The sequence below is a fragment of the Homo sapiens genome, chromosome 8 (assembly GCF_000001405.40).
Source record: "Homo sapiens chromosome 8, GRCh38.p14 Primary Assembly".
Lineage (NCBI taxonomy): Eukaryota > Metazoa > Chordata > Mammalia > Primates > Hominidae > Homo > Homo sapiens.
The window spans coordinates 116,082,710-116,102,491 of NC_000008.11; the positions used below are offsets into that span (position 1 = coordinate 116,082,710).

Sequence of the window (19,782 nt, forward strand, 5' to 3'; positions counted from 1 at the left end):
TCCTGGTTAAGGGTGAACCCTCTCGCTTCTCCCTGCGGACCTAGTGTCAGACCTGGGACTGAGGAAGCATTTGACTAACGGCAGTAATTTTTATTATATAATCTCCACATATTTATAATATGTGACTGAATGAAGAGAATGAAGGGAAAAAAGAAACAAGGTACACACCATCTATCTCTGTCACTACATTTTATCCCTTCACCTGTCTCCCTGCCCAACCCTTTGTTAGACAACATTTCACTATCGTCTATGCAGCAAGAACCCAAAAAGCCTAAATAACTGAGTGAGGCAAGGTGGCTCTGGCAGACAAAAGAACAGAACAGCGTAGAGACAGCTCTGATGACCGTATTTCACCACCTGAATCCAGTGGGAGATCAGGGAAGCCCTCTGGCTTTTTAATCACAAATATTAATACATCCTATTTTAATGTAAACTCCTCTAAGGTGGATTTCTTTCTTTTGCCAAAGAAAGAGTCTTAACAATACTATAATTGCTGATCTTGTTAACAGCCAGAATTCTTAAAATGGAGCATCTCTTCTGGAGTATTTATTCAATAAGAATTGTCTACTAATAAGTATCAAGTCCATGTTTTTCATTTCTTATTGTGTTTTGTTTTGTTTTCATCTTATTCTGTTTTCTTATTTTGTTTTGTTGTTTGATCAAGACAGAAGCTAGGCTAGACAAGTGAGTGAACAAGAAAAAAATAAAATTGTGGGCCAGAGTATGATAAAGCCAGAACTGGATTACTTCATAAATGAATTATAGATTGTGCAATACATCATTAAATTCATAAAAAGTGGTTACTTTATATACATCCAACCAGAGTGCAGTTTCAAGGTGTAGGTGTCTATGTAACTATTGAGGGTGTGTTCTCTAGGACAAAATTCTTTAGAAGTCATAATAACCAGTGATTTGGGTTATCATAAGAATAGCCATGAGGTTGACTTAATTGATGACTTCTGTGTGTGTGTGGAAATTAATCCTTTTTAATCTAGTATTTTTCATCATATAGCTATATCTCCCCTGCCTTTTCAAAGGCAGTCATATTTGAATCATTCTGAATGCTGGATGTTTCTCTTCCTAAATAATGTAGTACTTCTGTGTAATTGTAGCATATGGAGGCCTCTAATTTTAAAAGGCATATAGAATATGGCCACCAATTATATACATTTTATATATATAAATATATATAAGCATATATATATAAGCATATATAAATATGCTATTATATTATATATTTATATAAATATATATTTATATATGCTTATATATATATGCTTATATATATATTTATATATATAAAAGTATATAATTGGTGGCCATATTCTATATGCCTTTTAAAATATATAATATATATTATATATTATATTATATAAATATATATTTATATATGCTTATATATACAAAATGTATATAATTGGTGGCCATATTCTATAATATGGTATATTTATAATATAGTATATAAATATAATATATATTATTTATTTATTTATTTATTAATTTTCCATTACAGATTTAGGTCATCTGCAACCATCTTGATTTTGTTTGTTTGTTTTTTATTTTATTTTGTCATCTGTGTCAGAATTTACAGTGATAATAAATTTTGCTAATTCATATCCATATCTAATCAAATTGTGGAGAGAATTGAATTAATTTCTTTTTTAATTTCCTGAAAATAACCACAAGCAATAACAATAATAATGATAGCAAGAAAGGAAATAAGGAAGAGGAAGAAAAATTTGTTATACTCTACTACCTTATTAGATCTAGTTTTTTTTTTTTTTAGTTTTAAGTAACAATAATTCAAACCAGAATAACTTAAGCAAAACGTTATTATTATTGTCTTCCATGGAGAAGGATATTGAAAGACCCAAAGAGGAGCTGATGGCAGGAAGAGGAAAATAATCCCTGATGAAAGGGGTGCTTCATGGACCTACCAATGGTGTTTGTGAGATAGCTCTTTAATAACAATGGGAGTCATGATAATTTTAAGAACAAATATTAACTGAATATACAGCATATCTCTCTTTTTCTTTTTTTTTTTTTTTTGAGATGGAATCTCACTCTGTTGCCCAGGCTGGAGTGCAGTGGCGCAATCTCGGCTCACTGCAACTTCTGCCTCCCAGGTTCAAGCGATTCTCCTGCCTCAGCCTCCTGAGTAGCTGGGATTACATGTGTACACCACCATGCCCGGCTAGTTTTTGTATTTTTAGTAGAGACGGGGTTTTGCCACGTTGGCCAGGCTGGTCTCAGACTCCTGACCTCAGGTGATTCACCTGCCTCAGCCTCCCAAAGTGCTGGGATTACAAGCGTCAGCCACTGCGCCCGGCTCACACTTTCAATAGATTCTTTAATCTATACTTCATAGCAACTGTATGAGAAAGTTCACATTATTTTTCCTGTTTTCTACATAAACAAAAAACTAAAGACAAAGAGGTTACATAAATTTCCCAGGACTACACTGCTACAAAGTAGCAGAGCAAGGCACTGAACTCAAACTGGCTTGACAGCCCGCATATTTAAACAACCGCATGATTATGTGGCTTTCCCTCAGACAACTCCAAGTCTCTGCTTCTTAGTTAAAAATTCCAAAGTATGGAAGAAGGGATACTGATGGCTCCAGCTTGGATCAGATACCCATCTTTGAATCAGCTTTCTAAGACAAAGGGCCAGGATCACTATGTAGGGAAAGTAGCCCTTTGTGTTTTGGAGTAGTTATGTAGAGCTAGACAGTTGTGCCAAAAGGTACCTCTAGCCTATCCGTCTCACCTTCATTCAGTCTTCCCAATCAATGTGATTACTTCCTTCCAGAAACTGAGGACTTTGTCCTTCTCCTTCAGTATTCAATGGACTTTGCTGTATAACAATAGGTTTGTCTATCATCACCTCTAGAAACACTCTAGAATGCAGGGAATATATATATGTGTATATATACGTATCTCCCCTACTGGCCTGTAATGGACCATTTAATGACAAGTTGTTGAATTAAAAAATGCTTTTGATTGATAGATGAATATAAAGAATAAGGAATGCCATGTCTTCTCTAATCACATACAAAGACCAGGGAGCCACATGGACAAAAGCAAACTGAAAACAAAAATAGAAACAGAAAACATATACATATACATATCTCTCTCTCTATACATATGGGGTAAAATATGATCTATGCATCCATTTAAAAATCAACACATGAAAATAACATTATTTTTGGATCCAGTTTTATGATTCAGTCTTTCCAGTATAAATAATTTATAAGAGAAATAAGACAATTATCAGGTTTGTGGGAAATGTAAATTAATTTGAATCTAAACTTAGAAGAACCCTTCCTGTGGGCAGATGACAAGGGGAACAAACTGAGCAAGAAGAATTGCTGAAAACACAGCAGAGAAACCACAGAACCACAGAACCTAGCAGGCTGATGGCCTATTGATAAAAGAGTCACAGTGATCCAGGGTGACTAGTGGTTTACATAGAAAGACAAATAACATAGGGAAAGAAAGCAGATATAAAAGGACATAAAATTTACAACATATTTGCTTTGTAAGTCTGGCTTGAGGCAAAAGTGGGAAATAGGCATTAGGGATCCAAATCTTCCATTCTGAGCCCTTTTCGGCTCTCCAGCACTTCTGCCAATCTTCATGTACCCAAGAGCTTTCTGGTCCCCCATTTTCCACTGTTCTCAACAAAGGGTCTATCGGGTATTGCTCATTTGCATGCTAATACAAATGAGTCGGTCTGGATGTTATCATCTTTTTAATTGTGAAAGTAAAGCTTAATCTCTGTTAAATGAATACCAACAGCAAACGATAGACTGGGGACCCTTAAAAGGGTCAGGATTCCTGGCTCAGACATCACAAAAGGCTGACTTTCCTTGAAGGTAATTCTAGATGAGAAAACGACATATTCTCTGCTAGATTCTCCTTTGCTCAGAAAGAAAATGGTCTCATGGGGCACAGAATATCCTGGTTCTGCTTTGCCACCAAATATTATGTGACTTTGGATAAATTACTCAACCACTCAGGGACTATTTTTTTTTTCTTTTTAAGCCTCAGTTTCCCCCTCTATAAATATAGTCATAGGCCAGGCACTGTGGCTCAGGCCTCTAATCCTAGCACTTTGGGAGGCCGAGGCAGGTGGATCACTTGAGGTCAGGGGTTCAAAACCAGCTTGGCCAACATGGTGAAGCCCTGTCTCTACTAAAAATACAAAAAAAAATTAGTTGGGCATGGTGGTGGGCACCTGTAATCCCAGCTACTTAGGAGGCTGAGTCAGGAGAATTGCTTGAACCCAAGAGGCGGAGGTTGCAGTGAGCTGAGATAGCACCACTGCACTCCAGCCTGGGTGACAGAGTGAGACTCCATCTCAAAATAAAATAAATAAATAAATAAAACCACTGCCTGGGGACATTGTAAAAATTGACTGTATGTAATTGCCTAACTTAGTGCATGGCACTTAATAAGTGCTCATTAAACAGTAGTTATTATTTTTATAAGCAGTACTACTGATGTCATTACTGTTATTACATTTAGGGATTGGTCTCCAATGTAGGGTGGGAAGTCTGCAATTCAGAATGAGCATATGTGTTATTAACCATTGAGATGTGGGATGAAAATATATGAACTTACATTAATATACGGATATATATATATATATATAAAACCTTTTTAAAAAAGGAATTTAGCTTTACTAATATACTAATATTTAAAGTATGGATTGATGCCCATGTTTCTACTCCATATCTGTTTCAGCTGCTCACTTACCATGCAGAAAAAGGTGTCCTTTGTCTCCTGGGACAGAATGGGAAGTCCACAGTGTGGAAAGGTTGATGCGGTGCCTCCCTTTTTTGCCCAGTATGTACTACGATGATTTGTGAATGACATCATTTTGTCTTCAAAAACAACTTACAAAATAAGCAAGTGGCTTGAAAGAACTTCTGCAAAAGAAACTGTGAATTGATTTGGTACTAAAAATGTACCCAAGTTCTTGGGAGGCCGAGGCGGGTGGATCACCTGAGGTCGGGAGTTCGAGACCAGCCTGGTCAACATGGCAAAACCCTGTCTCTACTAAAAATACAAAAAATTAGCTGGGAGTGGTGGCAGGTGCCTGTAATTCCAGCTACTCAGAAGGCTGAAGCAGGAGAATTGTTTGAACCCAGGAGGCAGAGATTGCAGTGAGCCGAGATCACGCCATTGTACTCCAGCTTGGGCAACAAGAGCAAGACACTGTCTCAAAAAGAAAGAAAGAAAAAAAAAGTACAAGTTCGAGAAGATAACCAGAAAATGACAGAGCTGGTACTCCCTCAGTTCCTTCAAGGAGCTCCATGTCTGACACATTAAAACAATAAAACAATAAACGCTGATAAGAAGGCAGTGGCAAAAGAAATTGTCCATTGAAAATTGACATCCACTGTCATTAATGATGTTTTATTAATAAGCAAAATCAGATATAATTTATTTTAAAATATTTGTCATTGTCTTTCTTTAATTTTTCTATTGTTCTAACTATATATTATTTATTTATTATAAATAAATATTCATATGTTAAGGATGTAGTCTTGAAAAATTTGTAAGATGCAGTGCTTAATGAAAAAGGTTTAGCAACCACCCCACTACGTGCAGAGTTTCTTGCAATTTTGGGATCTCTAACTTAATGACAGGAAGAGGAAAACAATTTCAGCTGAACCTGGAAAAAATATACAAATACAAATATTTTATTGCGAGGTAAAAGGAAAGTTATTAACATTTGATTAGATTTGATTCAATTTATTATTAAACACAGTAAACACTCAAAAAGCATAACATTTATTGCTCACCTACACCACATCTTTTAGAACTTAGTCCTGCAAATTAAGTTCCCAAAAATGTCATAAGGTCATTTAGTCTTTCTGTCTACCCCTTGCCAGGCCACTGGGAACTTTCCAGAGTGCAGGAGAACTCAGGATCTCAAAGCCCGAACTCATCTCTAGAAAGTTAATAAAATACTCACCGAAATATGAAAATAATCTTTATAAAATTATGCTTGGACAATAGATTGTTGGGTCCCTCAGTATTCCAAAACTCCTTATTTATTCTTAGAAACATATCTCTAGCTATCTATCTAACTACCGATTGTTCGACTAAATGAGTGATCTATATCTAGAGAAAGAAATCTAACTCCCAATTGTACATTCGCAGTAATCTAATTACTCATCATTCTCTCTTTAAGAAATCTCATAAGATTTTGCACAACAGTATGTGTTTTGTGTCCAGGTGCCTCAGGCTAACAAGAATGATAATGTTCAAGAAAAATAAGGTACACTAGTGTTTTTTATTCCAAATACACTACTATTTTTATTCATATAATATTCTAAACAGGCTTTCATATTTCCTTGTTCTTCTAGTTGAGGCTTTAAATTTTTTTTAAGCCAACCCCGGAGTTTTGAAACCATAAGACGCTCTCTTTAACTGGACAGATTTTTGAAAAAAGAATGCCCTTCTAATTCGGCTCTGTAGTTGACTGACCCTCAAATGGAAATTTGCACATGTTAACCTCTCTCCATGAGCTTGGGAGTTTCCGTCAGTAAAATAAGCATCATAATACCAATACATCTCACATGTTTCTGAGAGGGGTCCAGAGTGAGTGAATATTTGCCAGGTACTGCAGGATCCTTGGGCTTTCTAAAGACAGGCAGGACATGCTGCTAATGTTACCATCAGTGCCAATTTCCAGATGGAACTCTGCAGCTATACTGAGTTCACTCCTTTTCAAAATCTGTTCGGCAAGTGCTCCCAGGGCTGGTATAAGCTCTGGGGCTCGTTTGTTTTTCCTGGTAACCATGGAGCTGCTAGTTTCAATCAGGGCTACAAAAGCATCAGAGGAACTGGGAAAGTAGAGTGAGAGCCAGAACCCACTGGCTGTCTTTGGAGTAGCTGAAGAGTGAGTAGCAGGAAGCAGTAAACCAAAAGCCATAGCTGCCAATAAATGACCTAGACACTGTTTTCTTGGCATTGCTATTTGAGTTCTTCATGGCTAAGCAAATCAAGACAAATGGGGGGGAAAAAGCAAAGTTTTCTCAAGGATCCGTCGAGGTGAATCTCTTAGCCATAAAGGGAATGAAACTTATTTTTTAAGAAGTTCACTTCTGGCAGAATAGCAGAGATAGATCCAAGTTTGGATACTGAATCACTTAAGCTGAGCAAGTTACTCAAACTTTGCAAATCTCACTCAGTTTCTTATCTGTAAAATGAGCATAGTAATGTCTACCTACTAAAATTGTTTAATAAGGTGTGTATATATGTACAGAGAGAGAGAGACCCAATAAGTGATTGCAGCTTTTGTTCTTCTAGACCTTGTAAATGAGAGTATTCAACATTTAAATGAAAGTATATAATAGGATTTGTTCACAGAGGAGGTCTATAGAAAAAAATGTATATATATAGTGTGGTATATATATATAGTAGGATAATAATTTAATGCTGAGTTTTAAGCCTTTCTCTATATTTCACTCTAGTTGAAAAGATGGAATATTTTAGAAGAAAACTGCATGATATTTAGAAGTATTTAAACTTTCAAGCCTGTGAAACTTTAGCATTATGAAATTTTTTGTGGCTGCTAAGTTTTACACATCTTGCTTTGCCTGGTTAGAAATCAAATGCTTTCCTTGACAATAACCACTTTCACAAATACACTGTATGAAAGGTGACGCATGTGCGTTTTCAGGAAATTATTTTAATAGCATGATTGGTTTAAACTCCCGATGTGTTCCTATGTGGTCACTGCCCCACCCCTAAACTATATGGTCAGGCTAGGACTAACAGCAGAAAGTCTCTTTAACAATATACGAAAATTCGTAAAGTTTCAGGACAGAAAAGGTGTCACAGTAATTTAACCTTTGGAAATTCTGTGTCTAGAAAATTTTTAGCTAGTCTTTTCTTCTGTAGAAACAACTAGCCTTCTTCCTTGTCATACACTTTTATTGTTAGTTATTCTTTCTCTCCAGCTTTCCCACTACTGCTATCACTAGTGACTGCAATCCCATCCTCTCTTTTGGAAATGTTGTTTCAGTAGACGTGGAAGATTATTTCCCTGCTATTTGAAGTTTCTGCGTGTCACTGAAGTATGCTGGTGCAGTGACTTAAAAGCAGAGCCTTTATTTATCATGATTAAATGCTTGATAACCAGAGAAAGGTTTTGACATTCAAACTGGCCAATTCTGGAACCTTTTAAAGGAAATGCTAACTCCAGCCTTTTAATGAAACTCAAATGAAACGATTCTGGATTTAATAATATGAAACAGAAAAATTATAAAGTCTGCCATGTTCAGATATTGGTTAGACAGTATAAACTGGGGATGAAGAGTTTAGGTTGAGTTGGGGTAGAGGAGGATTGTCCTGTTAGATCTCTAGAAATTCAGATGCTTCCTTTCGTTGGATACCTCTGCATAATAATGGGATGGAGGGAGCTCTGGCAGGGAAATTCTTGGCTCTGTCTGCAGTATATACAGTATAAAAGAAAGTGCCCTTCAATATAGAACACTACTTCCAGGGTCCTGTGAATCCAATGACTCTAAGGCAACATGTCTCCTAATACACTTTGTTCTTTTTTTTTTTTTTTGAGACGGAGTCTCGCTCTGTCACCCAGGCTGGAGTGCAGTGGCGGGATCTCGGCTCACTGCAAGCTCCGCCTCCCGGGTTCACGCCATTCTCCTGCCTCACCCTCCCAAGTAGCTGGGACTACAGGCGCCCACCACTACGCCCGGCTAATTTTTTGTATTTTTAGTAGAGACGGGGTTTCACCGTTTTAGCCGGGATGGTCTCGATCTCCTGACCTCGTGATCCGCCCGCCTCGGCCTCCCAAAGTGCTGGGATTACAGGCGTGAGCCACCGCGCCGGGCCACTTTGTTCTTTTAATCTCCCCTTTTCTCTGTCTCCACTCACCCACCCCACACCCTGGAATTCTGAAGGTGAGAGTAAGAGGAGAGACAGACTGGTGGACTGAGATGCCCTACAGAGAAGGAGAGTGGGGTGGCTGATGTTTCATACATCATTTCTGTTCACTATTTTATCCCGCAGACAGCAGAATGTACACATTTCCCAGCATGCCCAGTGGCTGTTCTTTATTTATTTAATAAAAGGACCATAAGAGCCTCTTGCAGAAAACCAAATTCTTACTGTGCTTCAGTAACATGAAAATCTATCTAAATGAATGGTGACAGGAAAATCAGATATAACAGAGACACCCAGATTTCACCCTAAGAGCATTCTCCTTGAAGGCACTAGGGCTGTGTAACACAGTAGAATTTCTATTTAGCTGCTGGACTTGAAATGGAATAAGAACAAAGGTAACATTTCCAACACTCAACAATGCATCCTTAGCTGTTTCATAATTCTATTTTTTTTTTTTTTTGAGACAGAGTCTTGCTCTGTCACCCAGGTTGGAGTGCAGTGACGCAATCTCATCTCAGCTCACTGCAGCCTCTGGCTCTTGCCTCCTGAGTAGCTGGAATTACAGGTGTGCACCACCGTGCCTGGCTAATTTTTGTATTTTAGTAGAGACTGGTTTTGCCATGTTGGCCAGGCTGGTCTCGAACTCCTGACCTCAGGTGATCCTCCTGCTTCAGCCTCCCAAAATGCTAGGATTACAGGCATGAACCACCATGCCTGCAAGCCGTTTCATAATTCTGATACTGCCGTCCACATGTGAACAATTGCAGCCACTTCTTGCTGATTCTGACTGCTGTGATGTTGCAAAGACACATTTATTCATTTCATTTATTGCCCTCTGTGGCCAAATTACTATTACTTGCAGATCTCGCCTCAGTTTGCTTCTAGCCTTTCAATCTTTTTTCAGGATGTCCAGTATATAAATAGAAAAGGTGGGTTTTTGGATCAATGTAGCTTAATTATAATCCTGTTTTCTGAGTCTTGCTCATTTTCTTTTTCATTTATTCTAACAAAAAGAGACAGTTGGGCACTGAGTGTTGCCTGTATAGTCTAGTAAGTAATTTTTTTGAGTTATAGATATGTGGCTTGATTGTCCATTTTCAAGGCCAAGGACAAAGTCCATTTGATTTCATTTTAAATTGTATGATTGAAATGAACTTAAAAGCCTCTTTTTCCCTCTACATGATCTTCTTGCTTTCATTGTGAAGACTACAATAAAACAAAACAAAACAAAAAAAACACAAATGTAAAGAATTATTGGTTTAGATGTTTTTGGTCTGTCTTTCAAGCTATCTTTTGATGTTTGCCTCTAGAACTCCAATGTTGCAGCCACCACAGCTTGAAGTATTTCCCCCACCACTTGTGCCATTTCAAACATTCTCTTAGTATTAAAACAAATCAAAATCAGGAGGTATCTAATTGTGCTGGTTTTGATTTTGTTAATACAAAGTGAAAGATTAAAATGGAGCAGTAACAGCAAAAACATTTCTTAAAGAGGCAGTCACAGCAAACCATTAAAAGGCAAATACGCTCTAAAACCAAAGTCTTGAAAACTTTAAGGAGAAACAACCCCCTTCCCCAAAGAAATTGCAAGAAAGTACAATCATTAAAGAGGTTGCTTTATAACCTCTTTCTAAAAATGTTAGCCTTTGGCAAAAGGTACCATTATGAAGGCTTTCAGATATATCATAACTGCTTCCCCCCGTAACATTTACAAGCTCACATATTACATTTGTCACATTCGGTGGCACTTGGCAAGTTTTGTAATGGTCTGGGTGCTTCCCCAACATCTTTCTTGTTGTCGTCTTGTTTTCTTCATTCTCTTATGTTCCTTGGATTCTCAGTTACCCCCTGGGGCTGGACTCCAGCTTTTTCCTTTTATAGCTCCACTGGTATCCCATCTGTAGGACAATAGTTCTAGGTACCCCCCACCTCCTGCCCCCAGCAAAAGCCTTATTGGAGTCTGATTCTGAGCATCAGTTGAATGAAAATTCAGGAGTTATTCTGACTTTGCTCCTTGAAGCAATATAGCACTTCCGTTTTGTGGTGGCAATTATTGTTCTAGACACTTTTCACATTTCACTCTGTAGAGCTGCTGGTATGAACAGGTACAACTTTCCCTATTTAGTACTTGCCAAAATAAATCAATAAATTGTAGCAAAGTCTCCACCTTCCCTTGTACTCTCAATTCCAAAGGTTTGGGAGCATTATCCAATACCTATTCCCTCTAGTGATCATGCTCTCTTCCCCTAAGAAAGTGGGTTGCAGGCAGACTTGTAAAGGCAAGAGATGTCTTTCCAAGACCTCTTGAATACATGGATTTTATCGCTTGGCAGAAACTTTCAAAAAGTGAGCACTCCTCAGCACAGTTTTGTGCTTACTTTTCAAACTCCTTTGAGAAAAATGTAAATGATCCCTGGTAAGGTGAAGTCTGATTCACACTTCAGTATGAACTAACCATCTACCACTCTCTGGGACAAATTTTTCAAATCTCGAATTGGAAAATGTGTTTGACCAGAGAAAATTGAGAATTTAGACTGGTTGCTATAATCAACACATTCAAGCATAATTACACATTCAAGCATAATTCATTCACTTGACTAACAGGAAGAATAATGCCTGTGAGCTGAGGTATGAAAGGTAAACAAAGATTGTCCAGACAGGCATGTGGAAGAAGAGTGTTTTGAGAAAAAGGAACAAAAATGTGAAGACAGAGGTATGTGATTGTGTGGTACATTTAGAGGAACTACTTGAGGCTCATAGTTACATGATTGCAAAGGGTAGCAGGATGAGTGGTGAGAGAAGAAACCGGGCACATAATCAGTAAATAGACCGTGAAAGGCTTTGTGTTTGGAGCCAATAAACTAAAATTTTCATTCAGTTGGAGACCAAATGAAGGATTTTGAACAGGAAAGTGAGATACTAAGACATGCATCTAACAAAGATGTCTAGTGACATGGAGAATGGGAGAATGGATTGGTGAGGATACTCCAAGTGAGTTGTCCATGACAGCCTCCTATTTTTTCACCACCCAATCTCTCTCGAACATACTCCAAGTAAGACTGGAAACAAGACCATGTGGGATGTCACTGCAAAAATCTAGGTGAGGATTATGAGTGTCTGAACTAAGGCTATGACAGTGGGAGTGTAAAGAAAGGGCAGGCAGTTTCAAAAAATATTAAGAAGAGAGAATTGGCAGAATATAGGAGCTAATACAATATGAGAGGTGAGAGAAAAAAGACTTCTAGATTGTCTCAAAGCATTTTATGGTTAATAGATGAAATACTGATTCTTCTATATAAAGCTACCTCTCTACCTGTGTATCTACTCCATTTCCCTCTCGTGTACTCAAGGACATCATTGCTCTGAGTTTACATCCTGTCTTTCTATCCTTATATTATCTCTCTTTACTAAATCCTGGCAACATACAAACATGCTATATATATATCTCTTACCTTTCAAAAAATAACTATTTCACTCCATTTCCCCCACCAAGCACTGCTTGGTTTCTCTCCTCCCTTTTATAGCCAAATGTCCTGCGTGAGTTGTCCATGACAGCTTCTCATTTTTTCACCTCCCAAACTCTCTCAAACTTACTCCAGACAAGCTTTTGTTCTCAACACTCTACTCAAACATCTCTTGCCAAGTGTTCAGTAAAACTAATTTTGATTCTATCTCACAGGGAACATCGGAAATAGTGTAAGCACAGTTCACTGTAGTCTTGCTCAGGATTTGTAGTATTTATACCCTGACATCTGCAGCCCATTGGTTAAGGGCTATGTTAAGGGGTTAGGGTGGGGAGATATAAATTACCAGGCACCTTAGATCTCTATGTGAAAAGGTAAGCCAGAGTGCTGCAACCTGAGGCCAGTCGTCTCAAAGAGCTGTAGGTGTTGGCTATTGGAAGAAAAAGCACCTCAAAGATTAGTATGCCAAAAAATGGTATAGAGAGTATGCAAAGTGTGTTCCCATACCAGCAGTATCAGCATCACCTGGAAACTGTTGGAAATGAAAATGTTCTGCCCCCCAAAAAAATTACAAGCCTCCCCATGACTTTATGTACATTAAAGTTTAAAAAACACTTCCTAAAAACTCTGTGATGAAAACAAAATTATTAAGTTGGCGCAAAAGTAATTGCAGTTTTTGCCATTTTTTGCGCCAACCTAATACATTACTCCTTTTTGCAGACAAAAACAACCCAGGAGATTTTGATACCAATATTTTAACCTCATGATATTCCAACACTGCATTTATGAATGTATATTTTCAAATCAAAATTATAACATCATGGATGAAATTTTATCAGGAAAATATTTTCCGCTATAAACCATAGTAAGCCAAAATTTAATTTCTTAATGGTTTTTTATACATTGTACTTTTCTTTTACAATTGATTCAACTGAAATTAACACCACAAGGGTTAATGCAATTTACTATGTTACTTTTATCAAGAAGTTTTAAATTTAAAATAATTTATTTTATTGGAATTCAATGTTTCTGGTGATATATTTAGCTGTTTTAAAATTAGCTTGGTGACTATTATTTTGATGAAGTCAATTATTTTCAAGGCCAAATTTTGCAGATCTGTATTTTGTCAACAAGAGTTGTCAGTCAATTTTTAGTTAACAGAAAATTTTACAGTGAGAAGTTGTAACTATTGTCAGTTTTATTTTGTTAATTATTTCTACAAGCTATATTGATCATAAGTTAAACAAAATACCATATGTTTATCTTTATTTCTTTGCTAACACAATAAAATGTATGACTAATTGTCATCAAGTATTACAGAATTGCCCTATTGTCAAAATTTCTGACCTATTATAAATTATTTTTAATGCATGTAATTATTCTATAACCTCTTACTCTTGAAATTACCTCCCTGTGTGCTCCTAATCCCTTCCAGAGTGGATCTTGTAGATGTTTTGTCAGTGTAGAAAGTGGGAAGATTTGCTCTCAGAATTCTACTGGCCTGAAACAATGCAGAGCTTCAACAAAGTGATCTGTTCTATTGTTTACTGATTGTGAACAACAAACAGATTTAACACATGAAAGAAACAGGGGGTTACTGAATTTTCCAGCAATGTATGTACCCACTCTCACATCTTTTCTTTTTTTATAAACTAACTACTATACCAATCATGGAGCAAAGAACATTAGTGGACAAGGTGTAAGATCTTGGTGCCTGGGAGGTTTAAGCATCCTTGACTCTGTTGTAGAGTCTGAACATTTATCCCCCAAACCCAACTCTTGCTCTTACCCAGCATATATATTTATTATATTATCTTGTCTCCTTTACAGTTTTCTATGCACGTGTGACTAGCGTATCTTAAAAAAAATACAGGGAGAAGTGAGGTTGTCCCTTGTCAGGCTTGGCTCTACCACAAGAACTTCTCTATGCTCTCTTCTCCTTCTGGCTTTCTGCCATGAAGATAATCCTAGGGTAATCTCAAGAGCCATGTGTTTCAAATGGCAGAACAAGAAGAAGAAAGGATGCTGGGTGTTTGAATCATTGCTTAGGGAAAGCTGCCCCACCAGGAACACATGCTCTGGAATACTTACATGAGTGAGAAATGCATATGATGATATTAAATCATCAAGATTTGGGTGTTTATTTGTTATTCCACCTAGCCTTATCCTAACACAGGCTCAAAGCAAGAGTCACACAGCAGACACAAAACATTATTAGGAGTCAATTCAGAATCAAAACATGCTAATATGGGAAGGAAAAATGTAGCTTACAGAGGTTCACCACTAGCTTGAGGCAATCTAACTACCCTGTTTGATTTCTATGCCCAAGCTAAATTACTGCAGATAAAAAACATTCATAGATTTGCATTTTATAAAACATTGACAGCATGCTCTACTGTATTTACAACAGTGGGCAAAAGTACAAACTGCAAAAGGTTCTAACTGCTGGATTATTTTCAAATACATACACATACCATCTTTGCCAAGTACACGCACTGCTGCTTGCTTCTGTTCTAGTGTCTGTTTCACTTAATGCAATGAAATGGATAGTGAGTATTTAATTCTTCAATTAGAAATCCCTGAAGCTGCTAGGTAGAAACAAGTGCTGCTGCTATCCTGAAACAAGTGCTTTAGACTTCAAACTATCACCAACACCCTCTACTACAAGCTACATTATTAAACTCACAGAAATTTCTGCCCAGCACATCATTGAAAGAAACGTTTAGAGGAATTAGCTTTAATTTTAATCTAAAATTAAATATTTACAGGAAAACAAGTTCTTCAGCTTTGATGGTAATATACTTAGTGATAGAGCATTTGACTCATGATATATAGACATTTTCCTCTAAGACATTGCTATGGTTTGAATGTGTCTCCCAAAGTTCATGTGTTGGAAGCTTAATCCCCAATATAACAGAATTGAGAGGTTGTATCTTTAAGAGGTGATTAGATCATGAGGGCTGTGCCATATGAATAGATTAAAGCTGCTACTGCAAGAGTGGGCTAGTTATCACAAGAGTAGATTCCTAATAAAAAAAAAGATGCATTTTGTCCCTTTTCTCTGTCTTGCATGGGTATGCTGTCTTGCCCTTCTGCCATCTGCCACGAGAAGGCACAGCAAGAACTCCCTCACTAGATGCCTCCCCTCTGTCTTGGACTTCCCAGTCTCCAGCACTATGAGCCAAATAAACTTCTGTTGTTTATAAATTACTCAGTCTCTGGTACTCTGTTACAGCAGCACAAAATGGACTAAGACATACATTGTAAGCCACTTATTAACAAGCATGACTTACAGCTCAAATCCATCCTAAAAACAAGACATGGCTGACCATTATGTTTCTTTTAATTTCACACCATTCAGTGGTCATCACTTAAAGGCAAATTTTGAATGGATAAAAAGTGTCCCGAAGTATAACATTTAGTCACATTTAGTCAATATTAGCATCCAAATTTAGAATAAGTTCTCACCCAGCTCCAACCTTCCACTATCCTGCACACAGTGTCTAACTCTACAGTAGAGGCACTTGTCATAAACTTGGTCTTTGGGAACAATATCATATGGAGAGGCAGTTATTCATAGCATGAGTTCTGGATCAGACTAAGTACAAATACCAATTTTGCCTCTTGCTATCTATGTGATTTTAAACAAAGTACTTAGTCTGCCATTGGTTTATGTATGGCTTCAAAACAGTAATTCAAGTGAGGGTGTTGTAGACATTTGCAAATTAATTCTAAAATTAATATGAAATGTAAAAGATCTAGGATAGCTAAAACAATTTTGAGAAACAAGAATAAGATGGAAGAAATCACCTTCCCTGAGGTAAATTCTTCCTATATAGCTGCAGTAAACAAGACAATGTGGTAGAGGGATAGATACAGTGAAGAATGAAACCCAGAAATAAATCTATGTATGACCAACTTATTTTTGACAAGGTTATCAATATTAGTCAATGAAAGAAGGCAGCCCCAACTGGGCAACATTGTGAGACTCCATCTCTACCCCCACCCCCAAAAGGAAAAATTAGCCAGGTGTGGTAGAACATGCCTGTAGTCTCCACAGGAGGGTGAGGTGGGAGGATCACTTGAGCCCAGGAGGTTGAGGTTGCAGTGAGCTGTCATCGTGCCTCTGCATGCCAGCCTAGGCAAGAGAGCAAGGCCCAGCCTCAGAAGAAAAAAGACAGCCTTTTCAACAATGCTGTTGGAAAAAATAGATATTCATAAGCAAAAAAAAAACAACAACAAAAAAAACCCGAAACCCAAGAACTTTAATCTAAATCTTATGCCTACACAAGAATGAACTCAAAATAGATTGTGGACTTATATGTAAATGTATAGAACTCTCAGAAAAAAAATCACACATAGCAATAAACTTTTTGGACTTATGGCTAGATAATGAGATTTTGGACTTGATATCAAAAGTATAATCCACAAAAGGAAAAATTGAACATTTGTACCTCAACAAAATTAAAATATTTTGTTCTGCAAAAAAACTGTGAGGTAATAAATGGAAGCTACCAATTGAGAGAAGATATTTACAAGACAGATACTTGACAAAGGACTAGTGAGTAGAATATATATATATATATATATAGAGAGAGAGAGAGAGAGAGAGAGTGAGATGGAGTCTTGCTCTGTTGTCAGGCTGGAGTGCAATGGTGCAATCTTGGCTCACTGCAAACTCCACTGCCGGGTTCAAGAGATTCCCCTGCCTCAGCCTCCTGAGTAGCTGGGACTACAGGTGCATGCCACCATGCCCAATTAATTTTTGTATTTTTAGTAGAGATGAGGTTTCACCATGTTGGCCAGGATGGTCTCGATCTTTTGACCTCGTGATCCACCTGCCTAGGCCTCCCAAAGTGCTGGGATTACAGGTGTGAGCCACCATGCCCAGCCATAAGTAAAATATATAAAGAACTCTTAAACCCAACAGTAAACAAAAAGTCCAATTAGAAAATAGGAAAACAAAACATGAAAACACATTCACTGAAAAAGATATATGGATGACAAATAAGTACATGAGAATATATTTAATGTACTAACCACCGGGGAAGTGCAAATTAAAAGCATGATGACTATGACCACACATTTTTTAAATGGCTAAAATAAAAGATAGTGATCAATACCAACAAATGCTAGTGAGAGTGCTGTAAAACTGAATCACTACACGTTGCTGTTGGAAATGAAAACTGGTACAGCCAGTTTGGGAAAGAGTATGACAGTGTCTTACAAAACTAAACATACAACTACCATAGTTGCACCCTTAAGCATTTATCCCAGGGAAATGAAGATTTATGTTCACACAAAAACCTGTATGCAAATGTTCACAGCACCTTTATTCATAATAGTCCCAAACTGGAAGCAACTCAAATATCCTTCAGATGCTAAAGAGATAAGCAAATTGTGGTACAATCATACCATGGAATATTACTCAGGCATACAAAGGAATAAATTAGCAATATATTCAACAACTTGGATAGATCTTGAGGGAACTACAGTAAGTGAAAAAACTCAATTTCAAAAGCTTACATATTATATGCTTCTAATTATATAACATATTTGAAATAACAAAATTATAGAGATGGAGAACAGATTAGTGGTTGTCAAGGATTAGGGGTTAGGCGATAAAAAGGGTGGGAGTGGCTACAGTTTTGTATCTTAATTGTGGTAGTGATTGTAAGAATCTACTTGATAAAGTTGAACTGAACTATAGACACACAGACACCACATACACACACACAAGTATAAGAAAAACTGATGAAATATGAATAAGTGCTATAAACTCTACCAATGTCAATTTTTTTAGTTTGGATACCATTCTATAGTTATACATGATGTTACCATTAGGGAGAACTGAATGAAGGGATAGACAATCTCCCTGTACATATTTTGTAATTTCCTGAGAATCTATAATCAGTTCGAAGTAAAAAGTAAAAAAGCTGAAAGACCGAATTTTCATTTAAGTTACGGAAGGATTGGACTTAAAGCAAGACAACCCCAGTAGTTGACTGTGGGGAGTTCAGGAGCCATCCCCTTGAAAACAAAATTGACAGACTTCACTGGAGAAGGAGTAATTTGGCTTATGTTATTGGTTCTAGTTACATGCTAATCCACTAAAAATATTTAGTAGTTAATATCTCAATGTGAATTTGTTTCTCAAATCCTTTCTGAGAATGTATTGATTTTCTTCTCTCTCTCTCTTGTTTTGGCAGAGGAAACAACAATAAAAATAAAGTAATTATATTAATTTAGACTAAAACTTATTCAGTGGTTTCCATATGCCAGGCTTGTTCAAGTGCTTTCCATCTATTAACTCATTTAGTTTTCTAAATAACTGTATGACTTAGGTACAATTATTAAACAACATTTTATTAATGTAAAAATTGAGCCCTAGAGAGGTTAAGTAAAACCTAAATTTTTAATGTAGATCAGCCTTGCTCTTACTGGCTATATTACACTTCTTAGAGACAAAGTAGAGAATAAAAGGTAGTCACAATTTAATCCACAGGAATAACGTGCCTCTCTCATTCTCTCTTTTCCTTTCTGCTCTCAGTCTCCTCTAGCCAAGCTTTTCCCTCTTTCCTTTACAGCCAGTTTTCTCCGGCTCATTTCCTCCTCATGTCTTTCCAGACTCACTACAGGATGCTCCACCATTTTGTTAAATAGGAAGATTTTCCTCTTTTGAGAATTTTCTAATATGTATCTACCAACATCTATTAATCCAGTAAACAAAGACAATCTCTCTTCTCTCTCTCTCCTTTCTCTCTCTCTCTCCTCTCTCTTTCTCTCCCCTCCCTCTTCCTTTATCTCCCTCAACTCACCCTCTTCTGAACCAAAAGAAAGGGGACAATTATAATCTTTATGATTTCCCCCCATCATGTTACACTACTACCGTGGACTGAGTTCACTTGCTATAAGTAAAAAAATCAAGTGTTTATTTATTAATTATATGCTTAAGTACTTTGAAACTCAAAACTTTACATTGGGGTTTCTGCTGGAGAAACAAGTCATAAAACAGGAAGGACCTAGTTGTTCACATCACTAATCTTGTGGCCTTTTACATAATTACCTGTTAATGCTTTTTGGAGAGTAAGTTTTATTTGTCAACAGTCTGTTAATGATTGTTTAACCAAGTGTTTAAAAGTAAGCTAGCATACTTAACAAGATATTTTATTGATAAGGCCCAAAATTTTGCACTGTGTCCATTAATATCTATCATTTTATTGCTTACATTTTATGAAATGCATACTTCACCGAGAAAAATAAGTGCCACCTATATTTCATTCACTTACATCTTAAAGTGATACCTAAACCCTTTAATTACATTTCTTCTTCCTAACCCTTTACTCATTGTCAAGTCATGATAAGCACCCTCCCAAAATCTGCCCCAGAAAACA

At 37.0% G+C, this 19,782-nt stretch overlaps 1 long non-coding RNA gene across 1 annotated transcript in view, besides 2 other annotated features; it reads right to left on the minus strand.

Annotated features, from left to right (window-relative positions):
* LINC00536 (long intergenic non-protein coding RNA 536) overlaps positions 1-19,782 on the minus strand; it is a 374,549-nt gene that overhangs the window by 132,199 nt on the left and 222,568 nt on the right. The window lies entirely within an intron of this gene.
* Positions 6,373-6,950: an enhancer, noted in NCBI's record as "OCT4-NANOG hESC enhancer chr8:117101307-117101884 (GRCh37/hg19 assembly coordinates)". NCBI's record gives its function as "activates a minimal SCP1, AML or CMV promoter by ChIP-STARR-seq in primed H9 embryonic stem cells {active_cell/tissue: H9 hESC(primed)}" and the evidence as "EXISTENCE:reporter gene assay evidence [ECO:0000049][PMID:30033119]".
* Positions 13,633-14,221: an enhancer, noted in NCBI's record as "NANOG hESC enhancer chr8:117108567-117109155 (GRCh37/hg19 assembly coordinates)". NCBI's record gives its function as "activates a minimal SCP1, AML or CMV promoter by ChIP-STARR-seq in naive H9 embryonic stem cells {active_cell/tissue: H9 hESC(naive)}" and the evidence as "EXISTENCE:reporter gene assay evidence [ECO:0000049][PMID:30033119]".